Source organism: Homo sapiens, chromosome 22 (genome assembly GCF_000001405.40).
Source record: "Homo sapiens chromosome 22, GRCh38.p14 Primary Assembly".
Classification (NCBI taxonomy): Eukaryota; Metazoa; Chordata; class Mammalia; order Primates; family Hominidae; genus Homo; species Homo sapiens.
Genome location: NC_000022.11, coordinates 16,853,462 through 16,879,416, shown reverse-complemented (window position 1 = coordinate 16,879,416; position 25,955 = coordinate 16,853,462). Strand labels below are relative to the sequence as shown.

The window sequence follows — 25,955 nt, the reverse complement described above, 5'->3', positions numbered from 1 at the left end:
GTGACCTCGACAGAAAGGGTGTCCTCCTGCAACCACTCATTTGTTACTTTCCTTCTTCCTGAATTGCCTGGACCCACTCCTCCTCCATTTGACTGGCTCCGTGCACTGATGTTATAGTCAGGAGATTTTTGGGAATTGTGGCTTCTAAAAATGTACACTCAACTCTACCCACAGCTGGCCCTGTGAACCTACACAGCTGTTCCACTGTGTCTCCTTCTCAAAGAGACACTCTTCCTGCTGAGTCTCTGCCCTCTGCTCCTAGATCCAAATGGCATCTCCTACCCTATCCCTGTATGGCTTAACCTAGGGAAACTCTTTCCCAAAGGAGTCAGGTAAGGAGACGGTGGCTGAGCTTCTTACAGACTTAAAGGAGACATCCTGGAATTTAGGAGTCTGTCCTTCCTTTCTGTCTCCCTGGCAGCTCCTGCTGCTGCTCAAAGTTTAGCTTTGTCTCTCATCCAGCTCAGACTGTTGCTGGTCCTGATGGCCTCTGCTTAGCTGTATTAGTATGTTCTTGCATTGCTATAAAGAAATACATGAGAAGTACCTTTAGTTGGCTCACGGTTCCATAGGCTATACAGGAAGCATGGTGGTTTCTGCTTCCGGGGAGGCCTCAGGAAACTTTTACTCAAGGTGCAGGGCAAAAAAAAAAAAAAAAAAAAAAAAAAAAAAAAGCTACCAGCACTGCACTGTGAGGCCCTGATCCCTGAGCTAACTTCATATTATTACCTCTACAGTAAGTGTCCGTGAGAACATAGATATATTTCTTATGTGAGTACACAATTTACAGAAGAGGAACTACCCTCCCAAACCAAAACAAAATGTCATAATTTTAATTTACCAGCAAACCTAGGTTGCTTCTGTGAAATGATCTCATTTGCTGAGTTTTAAAATTGACTAAATTTCCCAATTTCCAAATGAAAATATTTAGTTATCTTGTCTTGCTATGTGTTTTTGGTTAATATGATGATTAATTTTTGGTCTATTACTTAATATATTCCATAATTATTGATATGGATTATAAGGACTCACCAAATAGTTTTCAGATGTCTTTAATTTTTGTACTTAGTGCAGATCCTATAAATGGATTAGGAGTATTCTATTAACTCCCATGTATTCAGAAATCGAATTGGAGTGGTAAATTCTGTTTGAGGTAACAAGGGATATCAAAGGAAAAAAGTAATTTTGTGACTATGTCTTCTATACATACATTTTTCAGGCATCTTTATCAATGGCTTATACTAAAGACATTTTCCGGATCATGGGTGACAGACAGAAGACATGCGGATAAGTGGCATTGTGTACACTACTGCATTTTATCATCTGGCTTATTTTTCAACTTTTATTTCTCTTAAGGATGTTTCATTAACCGGTGCATCACCAGGTTAACAGTCTCTGGAACACTAAACTTACCAGAAAATACTTGTTGATTGAATTAACAAGAAAACAACATTAGAAAACAGTGGTGGCTCGTTTTTATCTGTTGCAGTATCTTGGAGAGTAAAGCCTAACTCTTTAATTTTGGCCAAAGATATAAAGAAATACCTGAGAAACACCTTTAGTTGGCTCACGGTTCCGTAGGCTATACAGGAAGCATGGTGGTTTCTGCTTCTGGGGAGTCCTCCAACACTTACTGGCAGGGTAATTTTGAAGAAGTCATGATAAGATGGTTGTTACAATTAAATGAAATAATCAAAGTGGAAGAGCTTAGTTAGCTGTCTTCCCTAAATGAATCACTGGCAAGTAAGAGTGTGATTGATTTTCCTACCAGTCAGGACTCACCCCTTGAAGCTATAGGAGGGTAAACCTCTGAAGACCATACAATTTAGGGAACACTAACACCTCAAAAAACTCTGTAAACTTCCTTCCTTCCTTTTCTTCCTTCCTTCCTTCCTTCCTTCCTTCCTTCCTTCCTTCCTCCTTCCCTCCCTCTCTCTCTCTCTCTTTCTTTCTTTTCTTTCTTTGTTCATTTTTGAGACAGAGTCTTGCTCTGTCATTCAGGCTAGAGTGTAGTGGCTGGATTATGGCTCACTGCCGCCTTGACCTTCTGGGCTCAAGCAATCCTCTCACCTCAGCCTCCCTAGTAGCTGGGACTATTGGCATGCTCAGCTAATTTTTTCCTCCTTTTCTTTTTGTAGAGACAGGGTCTCATCATCTTGCCCAGGCTGGTCTTGGACTCCTTGGATCAAGCAATCCTGCTGCCTCAGCCTCCCAAAGTGCTGGATTACAAGCATGAGCCACTGAGCCCAGCCTTAAGTTTTTTTCATACAGGAGGAAAGAATTTGGGAAAGTAGATGTGTGTGTGTGTTGGTTAGGGAGCCAACACATTTTTCTGCAAAGCTTGAATTCTGTGCCTCAGTTTTTCATTTTTGTTATGTGCAAAATAAAATCATATCCTGCTATAGATTTAAACCTGTGAGCAGATCCTACTCAAAACCTGATTCAAACTTTGCGTAGATCTTTGTCTCTCTATGGCATAAGAATAAATTCTTCTGATTTCCTTCCCTCAGAAAAATGGACTTAGACTTCCCACAAGCCTTCCAGAAAGAACTCGCCTGCCTCATCTGCCTGAATTACCTCATAGACCCCATCACTATAGGCTGCGGGCACAGTTTCTGTAGGCCCTGCCTCTGCCTTTGCTGGGAAGAAGCACATATTCCTGCCCTGCATGCAGGGAACTGTCACAGCAGGAAGATTTCAACCAATATTCCTCTGAAGAATCTAGTGTCCATTGCCAGAAAAGCCAGTCTCTGGCAATTCCTGAGCTCTAATGAACAAATGTGTGGGATCCACAGGGAGACAAAGATGTTCTGTGATGTGGACAAGAGCTTGCTCTGTTTTCTGTGTTCTAACTCTCAGGAACACTGGGGCACAGAAACACTGGCCCACTGAAGGGGCAGCTAAGGAACACAGTGTAAGTGGTGACTCAGAGCACTTTGAAAGCTGGAGGGCAGCACAGGTAAAGAGATTAGGAGGAAGATGAAGAGCATGAGGATTAATCTATTCTTTACCGAGTGTCATGTACTGCCTAGGTATCAGTGATATAACTGTTATCCTGCTATCAAATCTACTGATAAGTGGCTCATTTAACTTATATGCACTCATCACAATGCAAGAAATCCTCTGACTGCTCCTACCATCATGACCCCTAGCCATGATATGACTTGTCTCCACACTAGCAGAAACTAATCGAGTCCCTATATTAGGGATAAGTGGCCTTTATATATATATATATATATATATAAAATTTTTATATGACATTTAAAATATAAATAAATATTTATACAATATATATTATATACATATATATACATACATATATACATATATATCTCACAATGCCAAAAATGTTTTGTCTTCGAAATAATCACAATGCATCTACAACCAGGCGACAACACTGAAAATAAAATTGTAGCAGTTTGAATAGGGGTAATGAGTTAATTTTTTCCTGGGGTTCAAAAAAAGAAACAGCAGCAAAAAATGGTACTTAAGACTGAAAGTTGGCCGGGTGCAGCTGCTCATGCCTGTAATCTCAACACTTTGGGAGGCCAAGGTGGTGGATAACCTGAGGTCAGGATTTCGAGACCAGCCTGGCCAACATGGAGAAACAACGTCATTACTAAAAATACAAAAATTAGCTGGGCATGGTGGCAGGTGCCTGTAATCCCAGCTACTCGGGAGGCTGAGGCAGGAGAATCACTTGAACCCAGGAGGCAAAGGTTGCAGTGAGCCAAGATCACGCCATTGCACTGCAGCCTGGGTGACAAAAGCAAAACTCCATCTCAAAAAAAAAAAAAAAAAAGAAAGTTCTGGGTTATGACACAGAACATACGCAACATGAATATGTCATGGTTATGAATATATAGACTACTCAAGATTGTGTATTTTTAAAATAATAGAATACTAGGTTAAAAAATTAGCATCACAGAATGAAAAATAAGCCACAAACTAGCAGAAGATAATTGTTAACACATAAAAACAAAGGATTAAATACAATGGTAATATAATGATAGCTACTCTTACAAAGTTGTTTCTATGTCTCAGGTACTATTCTGAACAACATACGTGCATCTTGAATGCATGAAGAATTCCTATATAAGAAAAACACAAACAACAACATTTAAAATGAGCAAAAAACCCGAATAGGAATTTCACAGAAGAGAAAACATAAATGGCCCATAAACATAATAAAAGATGCTCGACTACAATTCTAATCAGGGAAATAAACATTAAAACCCCAAAGAGATACCACTTCATACTCTAGGAAAAACCTAAAAGGCTGTGAATATCTAGTTTCATTGAGGAAGAACAATGGGAAGACTATTCACTGCTGGTGAGGGTGTAGATTGGTACAACTGCTTTGGAGAACAGTTTGATGCCACTCAATAGAGCTGAACACACACATGCCCAATGACCAAGCAATTCCACTCCAGGTACATACTGTAAAAATACTCCTGCACATGTAGAATAGGAGACACTGCATAACAAAGTTCACTAGAACATGAGGCTGAGGTGGGAAGATGGCTTGAGACCAGGAGTTCGAGGCTACACCAGTAGCTGGGACTATAAGCATGTGCCACCGTGCCTGGCTAATTTTTTGCTGCTGTGGTTGTTGTTAGAGATGAGGTCTTCCTTTATTGAACAAGCTGGTCTCCAACTCCTGGCTTCAAGTGATATTCCCACTTCTGCCTCCCAAAGTGCTGGGATTACAGGTGTGAGCCACCATGCCCGGCCAAGTTCTGCTTCTTAACCTGAGGTAGATACTTTGATGTTTCATTTTCCTTTATTGTACAGATATACTTTATATTCTCATATGTGACACAAGTCAAAATTTAAAAAAACAATTTAACGTTTATTCCCTTTAGATGAATGATGGGCAAATTTACATAATGAATTCATTACTGAAACAATGTATAGATTTCAGACTAGGAAAGTAACTATTTATAAAAGAAAAGCTTAAAACGTGAAACAGAAACAAAATCCTGAAACTGTAAAATTGAGTCAAACTAAAATTTAAAAAACAAAGCAATGATATAAAGTATCATTTGTCCAAATGTGTTCTACAAAACGCTTTTTTCTGAAATATGTCTGAGGAAAAACAGGTTCTAGGAGTAAAATATGTTTGAAAAATGCTGGGTTAAACAACTGAACCTATGAAGGAAGGAATAGAACTTCTCAAGCTCTTGACTCTGGAATTTTTTTTACACGGCAATTAACACCATGCTTCTTCTTGGATTTGTATTTCAGATAAACACAATCTGGGAAACATTTTATAATACAGAGGGCCACACCAGATTGAATATTGCCCCCAGGAATGAAATGAAAACAGGAATGGATTCTCCAGTAAGAGGTACCCAGATATCCTAATCTTCAGTAGCTGACCTAAACCCTGGACAAGTGGGATCAAACCCCATAACCAAATACAACTTTTTAGGAACTAAGTGGATAATCACTCTGTGTTGTATGAACATGTGGGCAGTGTGTTTCCTACACAGCTTAAAAGTGCAACAAAAAAAGATCTGGGTGTCATATAAAGAATTTCTACCACTGTTAGGGTAATGGTGGACTGACAGGCAGAGGGTCTTAGATGTGACTTAAGTAAAGTTCAATAGAAGCTTCCAGCACAGATATTCATGTTTTGAATTGGACCGCTCAGTTAAAAAGTTTTTCCATTAGACTTCCCCTAATCAAATTAGAAATTATCTAATTTTCTAATAAAGTTTTCCCCAGGCACAAGGAATCTGTGAACTGGACCTAAAAAATTCTTCATAATGTGCTTTTATTACCATAAAAGATGCACATTTATTTTAAAAACTTCTCTACACCACTATCATAAACATTTGCACACACTTATTTCTTTTGGAAGCTAACTTCTGAGTGGTAATGAAATATATTCTTAAGAAAAAAGTCCGACACAATGCCTTTGCGTCTTAAAACATGTTAAAATATTATTTGAAAAGAGTAAAACATCTGTCTTTTCAGGGTATCACAGGGCATCAAACTGGAAAATGTGGCACTGCCAGGAGTTTCTACCTGGTGAAGGTTGGCAGACTTTTCTCTTCAGAGGGCTCTTGACAGGGTAGCATCCATTATCTTGCCAATTTACCAAAACCTAGGCCCAATCCTCAGTCTTATAGGCTCAGAAATTTATTTTTATCATCATCAATAGGGTAGCTACATTGCTTAGAAGCAAACAAAAATAACCATGCTTCAATAGAAATCAGGATATAGATGTATTAGTACAGAATGACAAATATAACTGTGACAGAAATAGGAATGCCTGTTTATGGTCATATACTTTCACTACAGCCAAACTCATACATGCAGCCAAATAAGAGGCCCCTGGATACACAGGGAATCGGAATAAAAAAAGAAGAACTGAACATTTAATAGTCTTCTTTCATTCAATCAATAATTTTTTTTAATTAAGCAACTACTATGTCCAGGTAACCTTCTAGGTCCTGGGGATACAGAGGTCTCTGCTTACAGAAGTCATATGTAAGTAGCAGGTGAAGAGTATGTGTTTCACAGAAGTTTATTACAATATATTAACAAGAGCAAAAAATTTTGGAAGCAATCTAAATGTTCAATAATAGAGCTCCAATTAAATAACAATAAATCCAAATAATGAAAAATAATGCAGCCCTTTAAGAATAAGCACTTGCAAGCCGTAATTCATGACATGGGAAAATTATCATGATGGAAAAAGAAGCAAGCTATATATAGTGCATGATCCTATACACACACATACATACATACATATTTCCTATCCCTTTATATGCATAAGAAAACAAGCGGGAGGAAAGTCATATCTTTAGTCAAATCTTGTTTGCTAACGTACTATTAATGATTATCTTTTCTTTTTCTTTATACCTTTTTGCATTTTTCAATTTCCTAAAATAGCCTTACATGCCTTTTATCACCAGGAGAAAAATTACTTCTAAAGTAATTTCAGTCAACATGCATACTAAGAACTCTTCAGATTTATCTGTTAGAAGCTGTGCATGAATGCCAGTCCTTGTATCTGCCTTGGAACTCACAGAAGCTCTTTTCCCATGGCTTTAAGCAATACTCAAATAGACTAGCATACCTGAATTTCCTAGTCCTATGTTTTTTTCATCCAACAGCCAGTCTTGTATTTCTAGCTGTTTTCTAAACATTTCAACCAAACCATTTTACAGATAACTCATACAGTCATCCTTTGATATGCATGGGGAATTGGTTCCAGGATCCCCCTTGTATACCAAAATCCATAGATGCTCAAGTTACTGGTATAAAATAGTGTAGTATTTGCATGTAACCTACACACATCCTCCTATATACTTTAAATCATCTCTAGATTACTTAATAACACTTAATACGATGTAAATGCTATGTAAATAGTTGGTATACCATGTTGTTTTTTATTTGTATCATTTTTTATCATTGTATTATTTTTTCTGACAATTTTGTTCCACAGTTGTTTGAATCAGTGGATGCAGAACCCATGAATATGGAGAGTCAATTGCATTTCATTATGCCCAAAGGTAAATGCATAACTTTTTCCGCACAGCTAATCTTCTAGCAACCCCGTTGCTGTCCATGGCAAGCAGGTTAGTTACTCTCGCCCTTTCCCGTTTCAGGTTCATTAAAAAACTCTTGTCAAAATCTCTTTCATCCCATCTTATTCTTCATTCTCACTTCCATCAGCATATCAGTCCAGGCCCTAGTAACATTAATGTTACTAATGGCACTGTTAGTAACATTACTTACCAGCATTCAAGTGGGTCTTCCTGATGCCATTCTCTCCCATCCTGAAATCACTGCTGTTTATATAGAACTTGTATGATGTCATTCATTGGCTCAAAAACTTTTAAAGCCTTCCTTTTTCTACCACCCCAATCTAAATTTCAATGCCTGGCTTTTATTAAAACCCATAATTTGGCCCCACCCTAGCTATTTAACTTTATTTTCCACTATTCGCCAGTCTCCTCCCTCATCAACGAGAAGACATACCATAATCAACCTCACCACTAACCCTTGGAATATCTAAACTTAAAAATGGTCCTTCCTTTCCCCTTTACTTGTATTTAAAGAACCTGATGAATTATTCCTCCTCTGCTAAACTTTTCACAATTTCTTCAACCTCATTTATGTTTCACATTTTCAGAACATATCTTGCCGTTTATTAGGAATCTCACAATTAGGCACTCTCATGTAGATAGATTTATGATCATGTATGTTGTCATCTTCTATTAAATTCCATACTCCTTGAAGGCAGGAGCCATGCCTTATTCTGTCCCCCAGAGTACTCAGAATGATGCAGAGCACACAGAAAGTACTCAAATCTTGTTGACTGATCCAGTGAGAAATGACCAACTTCAGTTCCAGCCTCTCTTTAACATGTACATAGCAATTTGGGCAAGTCAAGCTCCATCCTGAAGGACATAATAGGGGACTCTTTAAGCACATTATTATGAAGGCCCTTCAGGGATAACACCAGAGTGATGAGGTGCCCTATACCAGGGATAATGGAGACAGAGTACTTGGGATTCATCACTGGGGTCCTCAAAGCATCTTCCAAGGGCATAATAAGGAAGGACTCAAACACCTTTGAATCTCTGTGAGACCAGTCATGAGGTCTTTTGAAAGAGTTCTTTAACTGGAGTGAATGTCAAAGAGAAGTATAATAAAATAAAAGACCTGAGTAGGGTCCTCCTTGTTCATAAAATGACACTACCTAAATCACCAAATCTCACTGAGCCTTGGTTTAACTCAAGAGGTTCCATGCCACTATAAGAGGTGGTAACTGCCAACTGACAGGAAATATTTTCATATGCATAGTCATAGTGCCCCATATTTATGAACTTCTTAAGAGTCTTCAAAAAGCTTTCTATATACATTATCCTTTACTTTCTAACTTTCCTAAATACAAGGTGAGAGAGACACAAGTGTTCTATCAAAACAGAATCTTGGCCGGGCACAGTGACTCATGCCTATAATCCCAGCACTTTGGGAGGCAGAAGTGGGTGGCTCACTTGAGGTCAGGAGTTGGAGACCAACATGGCCAACATGGCAAAACTCCATCTCTACTACAAATACAAAAAATTAGCCAGGTGTGGTGGCAGGTGCCTGTAATTCCAGCTACTTGGGAGGCTGAGGTAGGAGAATTGCTTGAACCCAGGAGGCAGAGGTTGCAGTGAGCAGAGATCACACCACTGCACTCCAGTCTGGGCAACAAGAGCAAAACTTCATCTCAAAAGAAAAAAAATAAATAAAGACTTTTGCAAGGACCATGTCCCACCCAGAATGGTGCCTGCCTTTCTACAGTTTTCAGGAAGAGGAAACATTTTCTGCTTCTCTTGCTGAGGTTTTTTTTAACCACCCATTAGGAACGTATAGATTTCAGAATCGAACACTGGGATTCCCTCAGCACTAAAGGAGGAAAATTGCAAACAGAGCTGAAAGTGCAACGTGGAAAGGTCAGGCTGAGGAAGGTTCTTAGCCAGTAGACCAAGGGCAGAAAGGACACTGCCTCCTCAGTCTCCCACTAGGGAACTTGCTATTCTTGTCCCCTGACCTCAGAATTCCTTGTCATGTTTGTTTTGTCTCCAAGGGAATGGTTTGAATTACAGAATTTAAGGCTAGAGTGGGCCTCCTGCAGTTAACATTAACACTCTCTCTCCTTCGCTGGCCAAGGTGAAGTCTGGGACCATGAAGTTCTGACGTCCACTCTCTCAGGGGATCACCAGTTCACCCACCTCACCCGGCAAGCTGGGCCCTAGTTTGGCGACAGGCATCTTCCACCCACCTGGGAGGCAGGGTTCAATACTCTGCCTCTGACCTTGTTTCCTTCTTCTGCCACCTGCTTAGGCAGCCAGAAGGGGTTGTCCAGCCAGCACCTGGGCTTTGGTGCTCCTCAAGAAGGTGGAGGAAGTTTCAGGCACCTGGCTCCTCAGGTGTCTGCCATCCAGCTGCTCTTCAGGCCTGCCCAGCAGAGCTCTCTTGATCCAGCTAGAACTGGCCAGAACTGACTCACTCAGGAATGTGTAGACTTTGGCATCAGGGGCTGCTTTAATTTGCACAATTTCCAAATACCTCTTTTTTCTTCTTTTTCTGATGAGTCATCTCCCTAGACTTGCATTTTAAAGAGATAGATAGTTATCAGGTTCCAGAGAAGACATGGTAGAACATTTATATCTCAAAGACACAGAGCTGAGACTTCAGGTTTAGATACTATAATTGCCTAAACTAAAAAGGAAGGTGTAGGTAAAGTTCTAGTCAAGACAGGATGGCCAGGAAAAACACCTTAAACCAAGGGATGGCTTGCTTTGCAGATTTAAGCCAATGGCTTCTTTATCATAAGACTTCCCAGTGATTTAGTCCTCCCTCTCTTCCAGTGCACAGAGACATACCCCTCCTTACAAATAAAAATGTTCTTTATAGATGTAAACTTATTTTACAAAAATGTTTCAAAATAACCAGATGAAAATCATCCTTATGCCAGAAAGACTTCTTTTTTTTTTCATTACTAGAAATGAAACAGTAAGTATTGGTTGTATTGACATACTTAGGCTTAGACCTATGTTTAACAAGAAAGCCTAATAATAGCACTGTGGTTAGACTGTAGCCTATTTTTCCAAACCATCATTTTATTATTAAGGAAAGAAAGGATCAAATACCTTTCATTCATCTGATATGATCCTTTAAAACACATTCCACTAATAAGTCCCATTTGGAACAGCTGAAAATCTTTTAATAAAACTTTTTAAAGATGAGCTCATGGCTTAGTGTATATTTCACAAGCTTAATTAGGTCAAATGGAAGGAACTCAGATGAGTAGTTGCCCAATCAGAGCCCATTAGTTGTAAGTCATCAGCCCCCTTCGTGACCTTAAAACTCCACTCTGACCTAATTATTGCAAACCTATATACAACAAAGTGAAAGGATTAATTTTCATTCATCAACCTCTCAAACCCAGATTTTCAAAGAAAAAACCTATGTAAGGAATACTTACCGAAACCAGACAGGAAAATTAGAGCCTGCATACTTAAGAGTCAAACTTGTTCCACTACAGCCAGGTGGCATACAATTACACCATTTGGTTCTTCATACACTCTGGAACTGACCAGGACAGAGTTTAGCATAGAAAAACTGTAAGAAATAGGTTCCAAAACATAGAAATTGCAAAGTCCAAAAGGCTATGAAAAAAACTAATGTAAATGAGAGACTCCCCTCCCTTTGTTTTAAAGAAATAGACCCATCAGAGAAATGCAAATCAAAACCACAATGAGATACCATCTCACACCAGTTAGAATGGCGATCATTAAAAAGTCAGGAAACAACAGGTGCTGGAGAGGATGTGGAGAAATAGGAACACTTTCACACTGTTGGTGGGACTGTAAACTAGTTCAACCATTGTGGAAGTCAGTGTGGCGATTCCTCAGGGATCTAGAACTAGAAATACCATTTGACCCAGCCATCCCACTACTGGGTATATACCCAAAGGACTATAAATCATGCTGCTATAAAGACACATGCACACGTATGTTTATTGTGGCACTATTCACAATAGCAAAGACTTGGAACCAACCCAAATGTCCAAAAATGATAGACTGGATGAAGAAAATGTGGCACATATACACCATGGAATACTATGCATCCATAAAAAATGATGAGTTCATGTCCTTTGTAGGGACATGGATGAAGCTGGAAACCATCATTCTCAGCAAACTACCGCAAGGACAAAAAACCAAACACCACATGTTCTCACTCGTAGGTGGGAATTGAACAATGAGAACACTTGGACTCAGGAAGAGGAACATCACACACCGGGGCCAGTTGTGGGGTGGGGGGAGGGGGGAGCGATCGATTTTGGAGATATGCCTAATATGAATGATGAGTTAATGGGTGCAGAACACCAACATGGCACATGTATACATATGCAACAAACCTGCACATTGTGCATGTGTACCCTAGAACTTAAAGTATAATAAAAAAAAATATATATATAAAAATTTAAAAAAGAAAGAAATAGATGTTCTGTAAAAATATAGACAATTTTTACAGACAAATACATTTATAAGTTGTTTTTATCTGAAAAATTGGGGATATTTCATATTTATAACTAATTATTGAGCCTTAAGTTTTCTTGGCCATTTCTAGGCTAATAAACTAAGAATTATGTAAACTAAGCCAAAGTAGAATAGACATAAAAGTCCTGAACACTTCAACTTCCTATTCTTCAAGAAGTATACCCGGCAAAGCTCATTTGAGAGAGGAAAAGCTTTCCTCCACCCTCTGTTTTACAGCGCTGAGGCTTCTCATCACAGTTCTATGACTTGTAGCTTAAATCCGTGTTACATGGTCACTGGCGTTGTTAGTGCTTCTCTTTTAACACTGTAGGAATTAATCAATTCGGTAGCATATTTAATTAATTCTATCACTAGCCTGGCTACTGGCCACCCTTCTCTTCTCAACCAGGAAATTAAGTCAGAAAGGCTTATTTTCCCTTAGTAAGACTTTGGGGACATAGCAAAGTTCATGACAATAAGAAAGAAGTGGCAGCAAGCGTTTGAAAAGAGTGGTTTCAGTCAACTGAGGGGTTCCCATGGGAGAAGCAGGATCAAAGAGAGAGAGAGAGAAAGAACAGGGAGGGCTAATTAGATTAGTTCATAGTTGTCCCAAGAGCGACGCCTTTGGGGGCTTCCCTTAGGGGGGAAAGAGTCCAGGCCAAAGGGATGACCCGTGAGATGGCTGCTGTAAAAGTGGACTATTCTTTTTCCAGTGGCCTGGCTATTTGCAAAAAAGGCAGACATCTTAGGGCACAGGGGTGTTTAGTTTGCATGCACAAGTAGAAGTACTCCCAATCCCTGCAGTTGTTGTAACTGGGAGGACATGCACCTGTTTACCTTTGTAAGTGTTTCCCCACTGTCACCACTGTAATTCTAGGTTATCTTTAGGGAGGCCAAACTTATCTATCTACTGAACCCAGTCCAGTTGCCATCTGATCATCAGACTGAGTGACCTCTTACGTCGATCCAATACAGTTCACCAATCAAATCCAATTTGATGCTGGACTGAGTCAAGTTTTTACCAATGACTCATCAGCTACCCAAACCTCAAAAGGCCATATGTCATCTCACAGCACAAACTGGCCACTGGCACCCACCCCAAGGTTATTTGCCCTCTCATAGCACAAAACCCTGGATTCGAAACCCAAAAGGATCAAGGTTCAATGCAAAAACAGCAGAGTCTGGCCTAAGAGGAATGTACAACCTCAGAAGGAGGGCAAAGGGGCCAGCAGTGTCTTTCCTGAATTCCTCAAGGGGTCTTGGGAGGTGGATCCCATCCAGCTTGCCAGAACTCTCAAAAGACAAAATTACAACAAATTTACTTTAAACTAAATAAATAAAATAAAATAAATAAATGAAACTTAGCTTTTATTTATTATTTCAGAATCAACTTCGAAACCCAGTCTGGATAAAAAAATAAAAATAAAAACCCTTACAAAGGTAAACAAATGCATAGCTCAAAACACAAATCCTTGGAGCTTCAAAATTTGAGAGAGAACTTGCCCAGGACCCCTGCTGCTGTGAGAGATCTGTGTGCACAATGGACCTGGTGGGTCGCTGTGCTTGGGCACTCCATGCTTCTGGGGTTTGATGGACGTTCTACTTCAGATTGCATTTCCTACACTAATCTGTTAAAAAAAACCTTTACATATGCTAAATTTAGCAGAGTTTATTTGAGCAAAGAAACCGTTTAGGAATCAGGCAGCAGTTTGCACCAAAAATGGCTCAGAACACTCCATGCCACCATTTGTGCAGGTTACATTTACAGCTAGAGAAAAAGAAGTGCACAGAAACAGCCTGATTGGCTGCTGTTGGCATTTACCTCATATAGTCATGTTTTGGCAGCTTTCAGCCTCTGATTGGCTGAAGGCTCAGCTGTTTTCATTGGCTAAGACATAGTTACATGTTATAAGACTATAGTCTTGGGTTAAGTTACAGTTATTTTTACACATTAAGTTAGGTTACAACTAGCTATGTATACAGAACTCATTAGGCCAAACTTAAAATAAGTATGGAGGCTGCTTTAGGACACCTGTATGAGCGAAGTATGCCAGAGTGGCAGAGTGCTACATACATATGTGTAAATTTCTATATTAAATATATTTATGTATGTTACCTATATATTTATATGCTCATAAATATATATTTCCTTGAATAGTCAGCTATGTTCTCTATTTCTAAATTTATAAATATGCATATTTATGTGTGTGTGTATATGTATATATATATGTATATTTAATTTTTATGTGTTTGCTTCTGCCTTATTTGTAAGGTAGCCCAAAATGGCAGAGAGATTACATATGTATGCTATAAATGTTTATAGTATATATTTATGTTTATGTATATATTTAAATGTTGCATAGTTTTTTTTTTCAAGAATTTGAAAAAGTTTCTAAATTGAGGAAAAATTTATGTAAGATTAAGCTCTTTAAAGTGTATCATTCACTGACATTTAGGACATTCTTAACACTCTCTAGTTCCAGAATTTTTTTTTCTTTTTTGAGTGGGGTCTCATTCTGTCCCTTAGGCTGGAGTGCAGTGGTGAGATTTTGACTCACTGCAATCTCCACCTCCCAGGCTCAAACAATCTTCCCACCTCAGCCTTCTGAATAGCTGGGACCACAGGCACATGTGCCACAACGCCCAGCTAATTCTTCGTATTTTTTTTGGTAAACACGGAGTTTCACCATGTTGCCCAGGCTGGTCTTGAACTCCTGAGCTCAGGCGATCCACCTGCCTTGGTCTCCCAAAGTGCCGGGAGTTTTTATAGTTCGAGGTCTTACATTTAAGTCTTTAATCCCTCTTGAGTTACTTTTTGTATATGGTGATAAGTAGGGGTCCAGTTTCATTCTGGCATCTACATAGCCAGTTATCCTAGAATCATTTATTGAATAGGAAGTCCTTTTCCTATTGCTTATTTTTGTCACCTTTGTCAAAGATCAGTTAGCTGTAGATGTGTGGCTTTATTTCTGGGTTCTTTATCCTGTTCTAATGGTCTATGTGTCTGTTTTTGTACAAACACCATGCTGTTTTGGTTACTGTAGCCTTATAGTATAGTTTGAAGTGAGGTAGTGTGATGCCTCCTGCTTTGTTCTTTTTGCTTAGGATTGCTTTGGTGATTTGTGCTCTTTCTGAGTTCTTTATAAATTTTAGAATAGGTTTTTTTTTCTAATTCTGTGAAAAATGACATTGGTAGTTTGATAGGAATAACACTGAATCTGGGGATTGCTTTTGATAGTATATGGCAATTTTAACAATATTGATTCTTCCTATTCTTGAGCATGGAATGTTTTTCCATTTGTTTGGGTCAGCTCTGATTTCTTTCAGCAGTGCTTTGTAATTATTGTTTTCTTGTTGTAGAGATCTTTCACCTCCCTGGTTCCCTTTATTCCTTGGTATTTTTGTGTGTGTATGTGTCTATTGTGAATTAAATTGCATTCTTGATTTGGCACTCAGCTTGGATATTGTTGGTGTATAGAAATACTGCTGATTTATGTACCTTGATGTTGTATCCTGAAACTTTGCTGAAGTTGTTTATTAGATCTAGGAGCTTTTAGGCAGAGACTATGGGGTTTTCTAGGTATAAAATCATGTTATCTGCAAACAGAGATAGTTTGACTTCCTGTCTTCCTATTTGGATGCTTTAACTTCTTTCTCTTGCCTGATTGCTCTGGCTAGGATTTCTAGTACTGTGTTGAATAGGAGTGATGGCAGTGGGTATCCTTGTCTTGTTCCAGTTCTCAAGTGGAATGAACCCAGCTTCTGCCTGTTCAGTGTGATGTTGGCTGTGGGTTTGTCATAAATGGCTCTTATTATTTTGAGGTATGTTCCTTCAATACCTAGTTTATTAAGGGTTTTTAACATAAAGGGATGTTGAATTTTATCAAAAGTCTTTTCTGTATCTATTGAGATGATCATGTGGTTTTTGTTTTTAGTTCTGTTTATGTGATAAGTCACATTTATTGATTTGCATATGTTGAACCAACCTTGCTTGTTTATCCCAGGGATAAACCCTGCTTGATTAAGGTGGATTAGCTTTTTGATGTGCTGGTAGATTCAGTTTGCTAGTATTTTGTTAAGGATTTTTGCATCTGTGTTCATCAAGGATATTGGCCTGTAGTTTTTTCTTTGTTGTGTCTCTGCCAGGCTTTGGTATCAGAATGATGCTTGCCTCATAGAATGAGTTAGTGAGGAGTCTCTGCTCCTCAATTGTTTGGAATAGTTTCAAGTAGGGATAGCAGCAGCTCTTCTTTATACGTCTGGTAGAATTTGGCTGTGAATTCATCTGATCCTGGGCTTTTTCTTGCTCAAAATCATAAAATTAGATGGAAACTATTTTATTACTGATTCAATTTCAGAACTCATTATTAGTCTGTTCAGGGTTTCAGTTTCTTCCTGGTTCAATTTTGGGCAGCTGTGTTTTCAGGAATTTTTCCACATTTTGTAGGTTTTCTAGTTTGTGTGTCTAGAGGTGTTCATAATGGTCTCAGAGTCTTTTGTATTTCTGTAGGGTCATTGATAATGTTTCCTTTGTCAATTTTGATTGTGTTTATTTGGATATTCTCTCTTTCTTCTGCTGTTTGTCTAGTTAGTGTTCTATCTATCTTATTTAGTCTTTAAAAAACTTGTGGTTTATTGATCTTCTGTATGTTTTTTCATGCCTCACTTTATTTCAGTTCAGCTCTGATTTTGGTTATTTCTTGCCTTCTTCTAGTTTTATGGTTGGTTTGATCTTGTTTTCCTAGTTCTTCTTCTAGGTGTGATGCTATGTTGTTAATTGGAGATCTTTCTAACTTTTTGATGTGAGCTTTTAATGCTATAAACTTTCCCCTTAACACTGCTTTAGCTGTGTCACAGAGATTCTGGTATATCTTATCTTTTTTTCTTTGGTTTTGAAGCTTATTTCTGCCTTAATTTCATTATTTACCTAGCAGTCATTCAAGAGCAGGTTGTTCAATTTCCATGTAATTTTATGGTTTTGAGCAATCTTCTTCGTATTCCCTTCTATTTTTATTGTGCTGTGGTTTGAGAGCATAATTGGTATGATTTCAATTTTTAAAAATTTGTTGAGAATTGTTTTTTGTCTGATTATGTGGTCGGTTTTAGAGTATGCACCATGTGGTGATGAGAAGAATATATATTCTGTTGTTTTGGGGTGGAGAATTTTGTAGATGTCTGTTAGTTCCATTTGGTCAAGTGTTGAGTTCAGGTCCCACATATATTTTTTAGTTTTCTGCCTCGATGATCTGTCTAATACTGTCAGTGGAGTGTTGAAGTCTCCCACTATGATTGTGTGGGAATTTAAGTCTCCTCACAGGTCTCTAAGAATTTGTTTTTATGAATCTGGGTGCTCCCTGGTGCTCCCTGGGTACACACATAATTCTTGTGTTGGATGCATATATATTTAGAAGAGTTAAGTCTTCTTGTTGAATTGAACACTTTACCCTTATGTAATGCCCTTCTTTGTAGTTTTTTGATTGTTGTTGACTTAAAGTCTGTTTTGTTTGAAATTAGAATAACAGCCCCTGCTATTTTTTTGTTTGTTTTGTTTTTATTTTCTGTTTGCTTGGTAAGTTTTCCTCCATCCTATTACTTTGAGCCTATCTGTGTCATTGCATTTGTGAGATGGGTCTCTTGAAGATGGCATACAGTTGGGTCTTGTTTGTTTGTTTGTTTTAATTTTTTGAGACTGATCTGTCTCTTTCACCCATGCTGGAATGCAGTGGCACAATTATGGCTTCCTGCAGCCTCAACCTCTTGAGTTCAGGTGATCGTTACACTTCAAATTCTGGAGTAGCTGGGACTACAAGCGCATGCCACCATGTCTGACTAATTTTACATTTTTTATAGAGATGAGGTTTTCCCATGTTGCCCAGGCTGGTCTCGAACACCTGGGCTTAAGCGATCTGCCCACCTTGGTCTCACAAAGTGCTGGGATTACAGACATGAGCCACTGCACCCAAGTGGGTCTTGCTTCTTTATTCAATGTGCCACTCTGTGCATTTCAATTGGGGCATTTAGCCCATTTACTTTCAAAGTTAAAAATTCTATGTACAGAATTGATCCTGTCCTTATATTTTTTTCAGCTGGTTATTATGCAGACTAGATTTGATTTTGTAGTTGCTTTATAGTGTTAATGGTCTATGTACTTAAGTGTGTTTTTATGGTGGTTGGTAATGGTCTTTTGTTCTCATATTTATTTTATTTTATTTTGAGACAGGATCTCACTCTGCTGCCCAGGCAGAGTACAGTGGTATGATGTGGGCTGATTGCAACCTCTGCTTCCTGGACTCAAGCCATCCTCCTGCCTTGGTCTCCTGAGTGGGTGGGACCACAGGCGCATAACACCATTCCTAGCTAATTTTTATATTTTTTGTAGAGACGGGGTTTCACCATGTTGCCCAGTCTGGTTTTGAACTCCTGGGCTCAAGTGATCCACCTGCCTCAGCCTCCTGAAGTGCTGGGATTACAGGCGTGAGCCACTGCGCCTGGCTTGTTTCTATATTTAACACTCCCTTAGAGACCTCTTTTAAGGCAGGTCTGGTGGTGATAAATTCCCTTAACATTTGCTTGTCTGAAAAGTATCTTCTCCTTTGCTTATGAAGTTTGTTTGACCGTGTATGAAATTCTTGGCCTCCTCGGCATTGCACCATCAAGACAAAGTTGTCCTCCAACTTCTCATCCTGCATTGCTGCCATTGCAGCTCTCAGAACTAAAAAGGCGGCTTCAGACTCCTCCAAAGAACAAGTGGCCAATTCGAGGGAATCCTCCCCGTCACCAAAAGAAGTAAACGACAGTCCGAGAGCCGCCACCAAGTCTCCTGAATCCCAGAATCTCATCGATGGGACAAAAAAACCATCCCTAAAGCAACCAGACAGTCCCAGAAACATCTCAAGTGACAACAGCAGCAAGGGAACCCCGTCCTCTCCTGCAGGATCCACAACAGCAATCCCCAAAGTCCGCATAAAAACCATTAAGACATCTTCTGGGGAAATCAAGAGAACAGAGACCAGGGTATTTCCAGAAGTGGATCTTGACTCTGGGAAGAAACCTTCCGAGCAGATGGTGTCTGTGATGGCCTCTGTGACATCCCTTCTGTCATCTCCAGCATCAGCCGCTGCCCTTTCCTCTCCCCCCAGGGTGCCTCTCCAGTCTGCAGTGGTGACCAATGCAGTTTTCCCTGCAGAGCCCACCCCTAAACAGGTCACAATCAAGCCTGTGGCTACTGCTTTCCTCCCAGTGTCTGCTGTGAAGACAGCAGGATCCCAAGTCATTAATTTGAAGCTTGCTAACAACACCACGGTGAAAGCCACGGTCATACCTGCTGCCTCTGTCCAGAGTGCCAGCAGCATCATCATTAAAGCTGCCAATGCTATACAGGAGCAAGCTGTCATGATGCCAGCATCCAGCCTGGCCAATGCCAAACTTGTGCCAAAGACTGTGCACCTTGCCAACCTTAACCTTCTGGCTTAGGGTGCCCAGGCCACCTCTGAACTCCACCAAGTGCTAACCAAAACTCAGCAACAAATAAAGAAGGCACTAATCAATGCAGCAGCCTCACAACCCCCCAAAAAGGTGTCTCGAGTCCAGGTGGTGTCGTCCTTGCAGAATTCTGTGGTGGAAACTTTCAACAAGGTGCTGAGCAGTGTCAATCCAGTCCCTGTTTACATCCTAAACCTCAGTCCTCCTGCCAATGCAGGGATCACATTACTGATGCATGGGTACAAGTGCTTGGAGTGTAGGGACTCCTTTGCACTTGAAGAGTCTGACCCAGCACTACAACAGATGGAGCATGTGCATCGAAGTAACGTGCAACCATTGTACAAAGAACCTCATTGTTTACAACAAATGCAACCTCCTTTCCCAAGCCCGTGGGCATAAGGAGAAGGGGGTGGTAATGCAATGTTCCTACTCAATTTTAAAGCCAGTCTCAGCAGGTCATATCATAGTTTCTCCATCGAGCAATAGTTCTTCTTCATCTTCCACTCTTCAGAGCCCTGTGGGAACTGGCATACACACTGTCACAAAAATTCAGTCTGGCATAACTGGGACAGTCATATCGGCTCCTTCAAGCACTCCCAGCACCACAGCCATGCCCCTAGATGAAGACCCCTCCAAACTGTGTAGACATAATCTAAAATGTTTGAAGTGTAATGAAATCTTCCAGGACAAGAGATCCCTGGCTACACATTTCCAGCAGGCTGCAGATATGAGTGGACAAAAGACTTGTACTATCTGCCAGATGCTGCTTCCTAACCAGTGCAGAGAATCCATCAGCACAAATCTCCCTACACCTGCCCTGAGTGCAGGGCCATCTGCAGGTTGGTGCACTTCCAGACCCATGTCACCAAGAACTGTCTACACTACACAAGGAGAGTTGGTTTTTGACGTGTACATTGCAATGTTGTGAACTCTGATGTGGCTGCTCTGAAGTCTCGCATTCAAGGTTCTCACTGTGAAGTCTTCTACAAGTGTCCTATTTGTCCAATGGTGTTTAAGTCCGCCCCAAGCACTTAACACAGCATCCTGGCATCAAGATAGGAGAACCAAAAATAATATATAAGTGTTCCATGTGCAACACTGTGTTCACCCTGCAAGCCTTGCTGTATCGCCACTTTGACTAACATATTGAAAACCAGAAAATATCTGTTTTCAAGTGTCTGGACTGTTCTCTTTTATACGTACAGAAGCAACTTATGATGGACCATATCAAGTCTATGCATGGGACATTGAAAAGTATTGAAGGGCCAACTTGGGTGTAAACTTGCTTTTGAGCTTTAAGCCTGCAACTTATAATTCAGCATATCAGAAAAAAGAGGACAGCAAATCCATGAGTGGGAAAGAGAAACCGGAAAAGAAATCTCCATCTCCTTTGAAAAAAAATCAATGGAAACCAAGAAAGTGGCCAGTCCTGGGTGGACGTGTTGGGAGTGTGACCACCTGTTCATGCAGAGAGATGTGTACATATCCCACCTGAGGAAGGAGCATGGGAAGCAAATGAAGAAACACCCCTGCCGCCAGTGTGACAAGCCTTTCAGCTCATCCCACAGACTGTGCTGGCACAACCGGATCAAGCACAAAGGCATCAGGAAAGTGTATGCCTGCTCACACTGCCCAGACTCCAGAGGTACTTTTACCAAAGGGTTGATGCTGGAGAAGCATGTCCAGCTGATGCATGGCATCAAAGACCTTGACCTGAAAGAAATGACAGACACCACCAATGAGGAGGAAACAGAAATAAAAGTAGACGCCAAGGTCCGCAGTCCCAAGTGGAAGTTGAAAGAACCGGTTCTGGAGTACAGGCCTCCCAGAGGAGCAATAACTCAACCACTGAAAAAGCTGAAAATCAATGTTTTTAAGGTTCACAAGTGTGCCTTGTGTTGCTTCACCACCGAAAACCTGCTGCAGTTCCACGAACACATCCCTCAGCACAAATAGGATGGTTCTTCCTACCAGTGCTGGGAGTGTGGCCTCTGCTACATGTCTCACGTCTCTCTGTCCAGGCACCTCTTTGTTGTACACAAGTTAAAGGAACCTCAGCCAGTGCCCAAGCAAAATGGGGCTGGGGAAGATAACCAACAGGAGAACAAACCCAGCCACGAGGACGAATCTCCCAATGGCGTCATGTCAGACAGAAAGTGCAAAGTGTGTGCAAAAACTTTTGAAACTAAAGCTGCCTTAAACACTCACATGCAGACACATGGTATGGCCTTCATCAAATCCAAAAGGATGAGCTCAGACGAGAAATAGTCACAGACGCTCCATGAGGAAAATCCCTGTCCACATTGGGATAAAAAAGACACTTTTGTTACACTAAGTTTGCAGTATAATAGAGTTAACAGTACTGTCTAGGCTGTTGCTATATATTCTCTTTCAATGTGCCTTCCTTCTTCATCTTGTCATATATATCCTCATTAAGTATTAAAACAGAATTTGAGTTTAAAAGAGTTTGTATATATTTAAGTGAATAACTTTTTATACTCTTTGTTACATGTTTGTATCAGTATTCAGTGGAAAACGTTTTGAGTTGTTTTGGGTTAGAATTTTTCTTTTTGTCCTGTTTCTTTAAAACAGAGTTCTTAGGAACAGGGGCAGTTCCTGAATTCAAATAAATCATTTTGTATGTTTCAAATTTGAATGGCTTAACTAATTACAGGCTAAAATAATGCCTTTTTTAGTGTTTTTAATTTTTAAAATTCACTACATAAATTGGAAGTAATTGTGGGTCTCAAAAACACTAGGAACTTCTAAATGTCTTAGCACCTTCTGGATGTGCCTGCCCCGAGGGAGTGAGTGCACGTTTGAGACAACTGCACTCCAGCGTGGGCGCGCCTTTGTCTTCAGGCCACGCCGAAGGGTGTTTAAAGCAGCCTTGCAGGTCGCTCCTTTCCCAGCCGTGGATAAAAACTGAAGCCAGGAATCTAATAAGGAATGCTGATTTCCTCAATTCCATTTTGAGGAATGGGGAAGGTTATTCTAAAGAAAAAAAGAATGGGACTGGTTTTCTGGGCAGATCTGCAAGGCTGGCTTTAGGAGCACAAGGAGGGAAAGTAACAAAACGGCTGGACTACTATAAAAGTTACAAATACGTAGTTAGACCAATAGATCTACATAGTCAGGTTTTTGTCATGTAATTTATTAACTATTACAGAAACACAACTAAGAATATCAAGTATTTCTCTGGCTCTTGATAGAAAAAAAAATCAGCTGACTTAATCCTTTGTTTTCAAAAGAGTTGGCGTTTCCTGTTCTGGGTGTTACTGCCAAACGTTCTGGTGCTTAGAGTTGGGATGCACGACGTCAACCACCGACTTATCAATGCAGCCGGCTGTGTATCGCAATTGGCCGTTACCTTAAGCACTGAGCCACATGGGATTAGTTCAGCCATTTCAAGAGGTATATTTAATGTTGGTAGTTCTGCTTTACTAAAATGCAGTAGAGGTACTCTTCTGTCCCTTCTGTTTATAGTTCTCTGAGAGAGTTATATTTTTTGGTTTCGTCTTGTGTTTTCTTTTGCATCTTATATCTTGTATTTATCCCTGAACATGTTTTGTACTTTTTTTTTTAAGAAAAGGAATTCTTTTGTGTATATATGTAGGTACTTGCATGATATACTGTAGTCAATGTTCAGTTCCTCGAAAGGTCTTGCTGCTGTCAGGTGTTATACACTCCATCCATCATAACTGTATGAAACACATTTCATATGTAAATAAACGTGGGACATTTGAAAAAATTTTTTGTTCTATGTAGTTGAAAATCATTGGCTAAGTTCATTATAACCTCCTTTCTGCATCTTACCCTCATCCACACTCTTACAGCCTTTCATTAATTGTAAATTCTTATGTCTATATTTTCCATATCTACTTAGTACTACTTTTTGGAATGAATCTTTTATGCCCTGCTCTGGTCAATAATCTTGGGTGAAATGAGAACACAAAGCCAGAGAGACCAGGTTTCTGTAGTTCTCTAACATCAGATTTTAATACAAATTCTGCTGTGCAGTGCCCAGGCATTGCCACCCCTCTGGAGAGAATTCTATGGCTACATCCCTGAATGTCAACCGTTCCATTTCTAGGCTTGCAGCAGGCTCTGGTGTCTTAGCTATGGATCTCCCAATACCTGCTGGTCACAGGGCCATAGAGACTGGGCTTCTAGGAACAGAAGACACAGAGCAGTGAACAGTAGCCAGTTTCATTCTGCCTATGGATAGGCAGTTATCCCAGCACTATTTATTGAATAGAGAGTTCTTTCCCTATTGCTTATTTTTGTCAGCTTCATGGATGTTCACTTGGTTGTAGGTGTGTGACTTTATTTCTAGGTTCTCTATTCTGTCCCACTGGTCTATGTATCTGTTTTTGTACCAGTACTGTAGTGTTTTGGTTATGTAGCCTTGCAATATAGTTTAAAGTTGGATAGTGTGATGTCTCTGGCTTCTTTTTTCTTTTTCTTTTTTTTTTTTTTGGCTTAGGATTGCTTTGGTGATTCCTGCTCATTTTTTCATTCCATATGGATTTTAGAGTAGTTTTTTTTCCTAATTCTGTGAAAAACAACATTGGTAATTTAATAGGAATAGTGTTAAATCTAGAGATTGCTTTGGGTGGTATGGCCATTTTAATGATACTCATTCTTCCCATCCACGAACATGGAATGTTTTTCCATTTGTTTGTGTCATCTGTGATTTTATTCAGCAGAAATTTTTGTTATTCTTGTGGAGTTCTTTCACCTCCTTGGTTAGATATATTCCTAGGTATTTTTTTTGTGTGGTCATTATAAATGGGATAGCATTCTTGATTTGGCTCTCAGCTTGGACGTTTTTGGTGTATACAACTGCTACTGACTTTTGTACATTGATTATATATTCTGAAATTTTACTGAAGTTATGTATTAGTTGTTGGAATTTTTGGTAGTCTTTTAAGTTTTTCTAGGTATTGAGTAATATCATCTATGAAGAGAGATAATTTGACTTATTCTTTTCCTATTTGAATTTCCTCTTTTTCTTTCTCTTGCATAACTGCTATGCTATGACTACCAGTACTATGTTGAGCCAGAATAGTGAGAATGGGCAACCTTGTCTTGTTCTGATTCTTAAGGGGAATGAATCCAGCTTTTGCCAGTTCAGTATGAGCTTGGCTGTGAATTTGTCATAGATAACTCATTATTTTGAGGTATACTCCTTTGATGTCTAATTTGTTGAGGGTTTTTTATCATGAGGAGATGTTGGGTTTCATTTAAAACTTTTTCTGCATCTATTGATGATCATGAAGTTTTTACTTGTGTTTGTGTTTTTTGTAAATTTTGTTTATTTGTTGAATCACATTTATTTATTTGCATATGTTGAACCAACCTTGCCTCCCATGAATAAAGCCTATTCAATCATGGTGAATTAACTTTTTGATGTGTCGCTGGATTCAGTTTGCTAGTATTTTGTTGAGGATTTTTGTGTCTGTTCATCAGGAATATTGGCCTGTAGTTTCCTTTTTTTGTTGTGCTTGTGTCAGATTTTGGTATCAGGATGATGCTGGTTTTATAGAATGAGTTAGGGAGGAGTTCCTTCTCCTCATTTTTTGGGGAATGTTTCAGTGGGATTGGCACCAGCTCTTCTTTGCACGTCTGGCAGAATTTGGCTGTGAACTAATTGGTCTAGGACATTTCTTGGTTAGTAGGTTTTTTATTACTGGTTTATATTTTTCAAACTTGCTATTGGTCTGTTCAGGATCTCAATTTCTTCCTAATTCTTCCTTGGAAGGTTTTGTGTTTCTAGGAATTTATTCATTTCCTCTAGATTTCTAGTTTGTGTGCACAGAGGTGTTCATAATGGTCTCTGAGGCTCTTTTGTATTACCGTGGGTATCAGTTCTGATTGTATTTATTTGAATCTTCTTTCTTTGTTAGTTTACCTAGCATTCTATCAATCTCACGTATTCTTTGAAAGAACCAACTTTCAATTTCATTAATCTTTTATATGGCTTTTTGGGTCTCAATTTTATTTCTGCTGTGATTTTTGTTATTTATTTTATTCTGGTAGCTTTGTATTAGTTTGTTCTTGTTTTTTTAGGTCCTTTAGGTGTGATGTTAGATTGATAATTTGGTATCTTTCTAGCTTTTTGAGGTAGGCAAACCATTTAAGCACTATAAACTTTCTTCTTAATATTGCTTTTTCTACATTCCAGAGATTTTGGTAAATTGTGTCTCTGTTTTCATTTACTTTAAATAATTATTTGATTTCTGCTTTAATTTTGTTAACTCAAAAGTTATTAAGAAACAAGTTCTTTAGTTTTCCATTTTATTGTGTGATTTTGAAGTATCTTCTTGATATTGCCTTCTATTTTTATTCTTCGTGGCCCAAAAATATGCTTGGTGTTGTTTCTTCATTAAAAAAAGTTATTGAGACTTGCTTTATGGC

The 25,955-nt window shown here is 39.3% G+C and overlaps 2 pseudogenes; both read left to right on the top strand.

Moving 5' to 3' along the window:
• Window positions 3,044–3,199, top strand: MTND1P17 (MT-ND1 pseudogene 17; annotated as a pseudogene).
• On the top strand, window positions 18,686–22,479 carry ZNF402P (zinc finger protein 402, pseudogene; annotated as a pseudogene).
• Window positions 22,480–25,955: the final 3,476 nt, after the last annotated feature.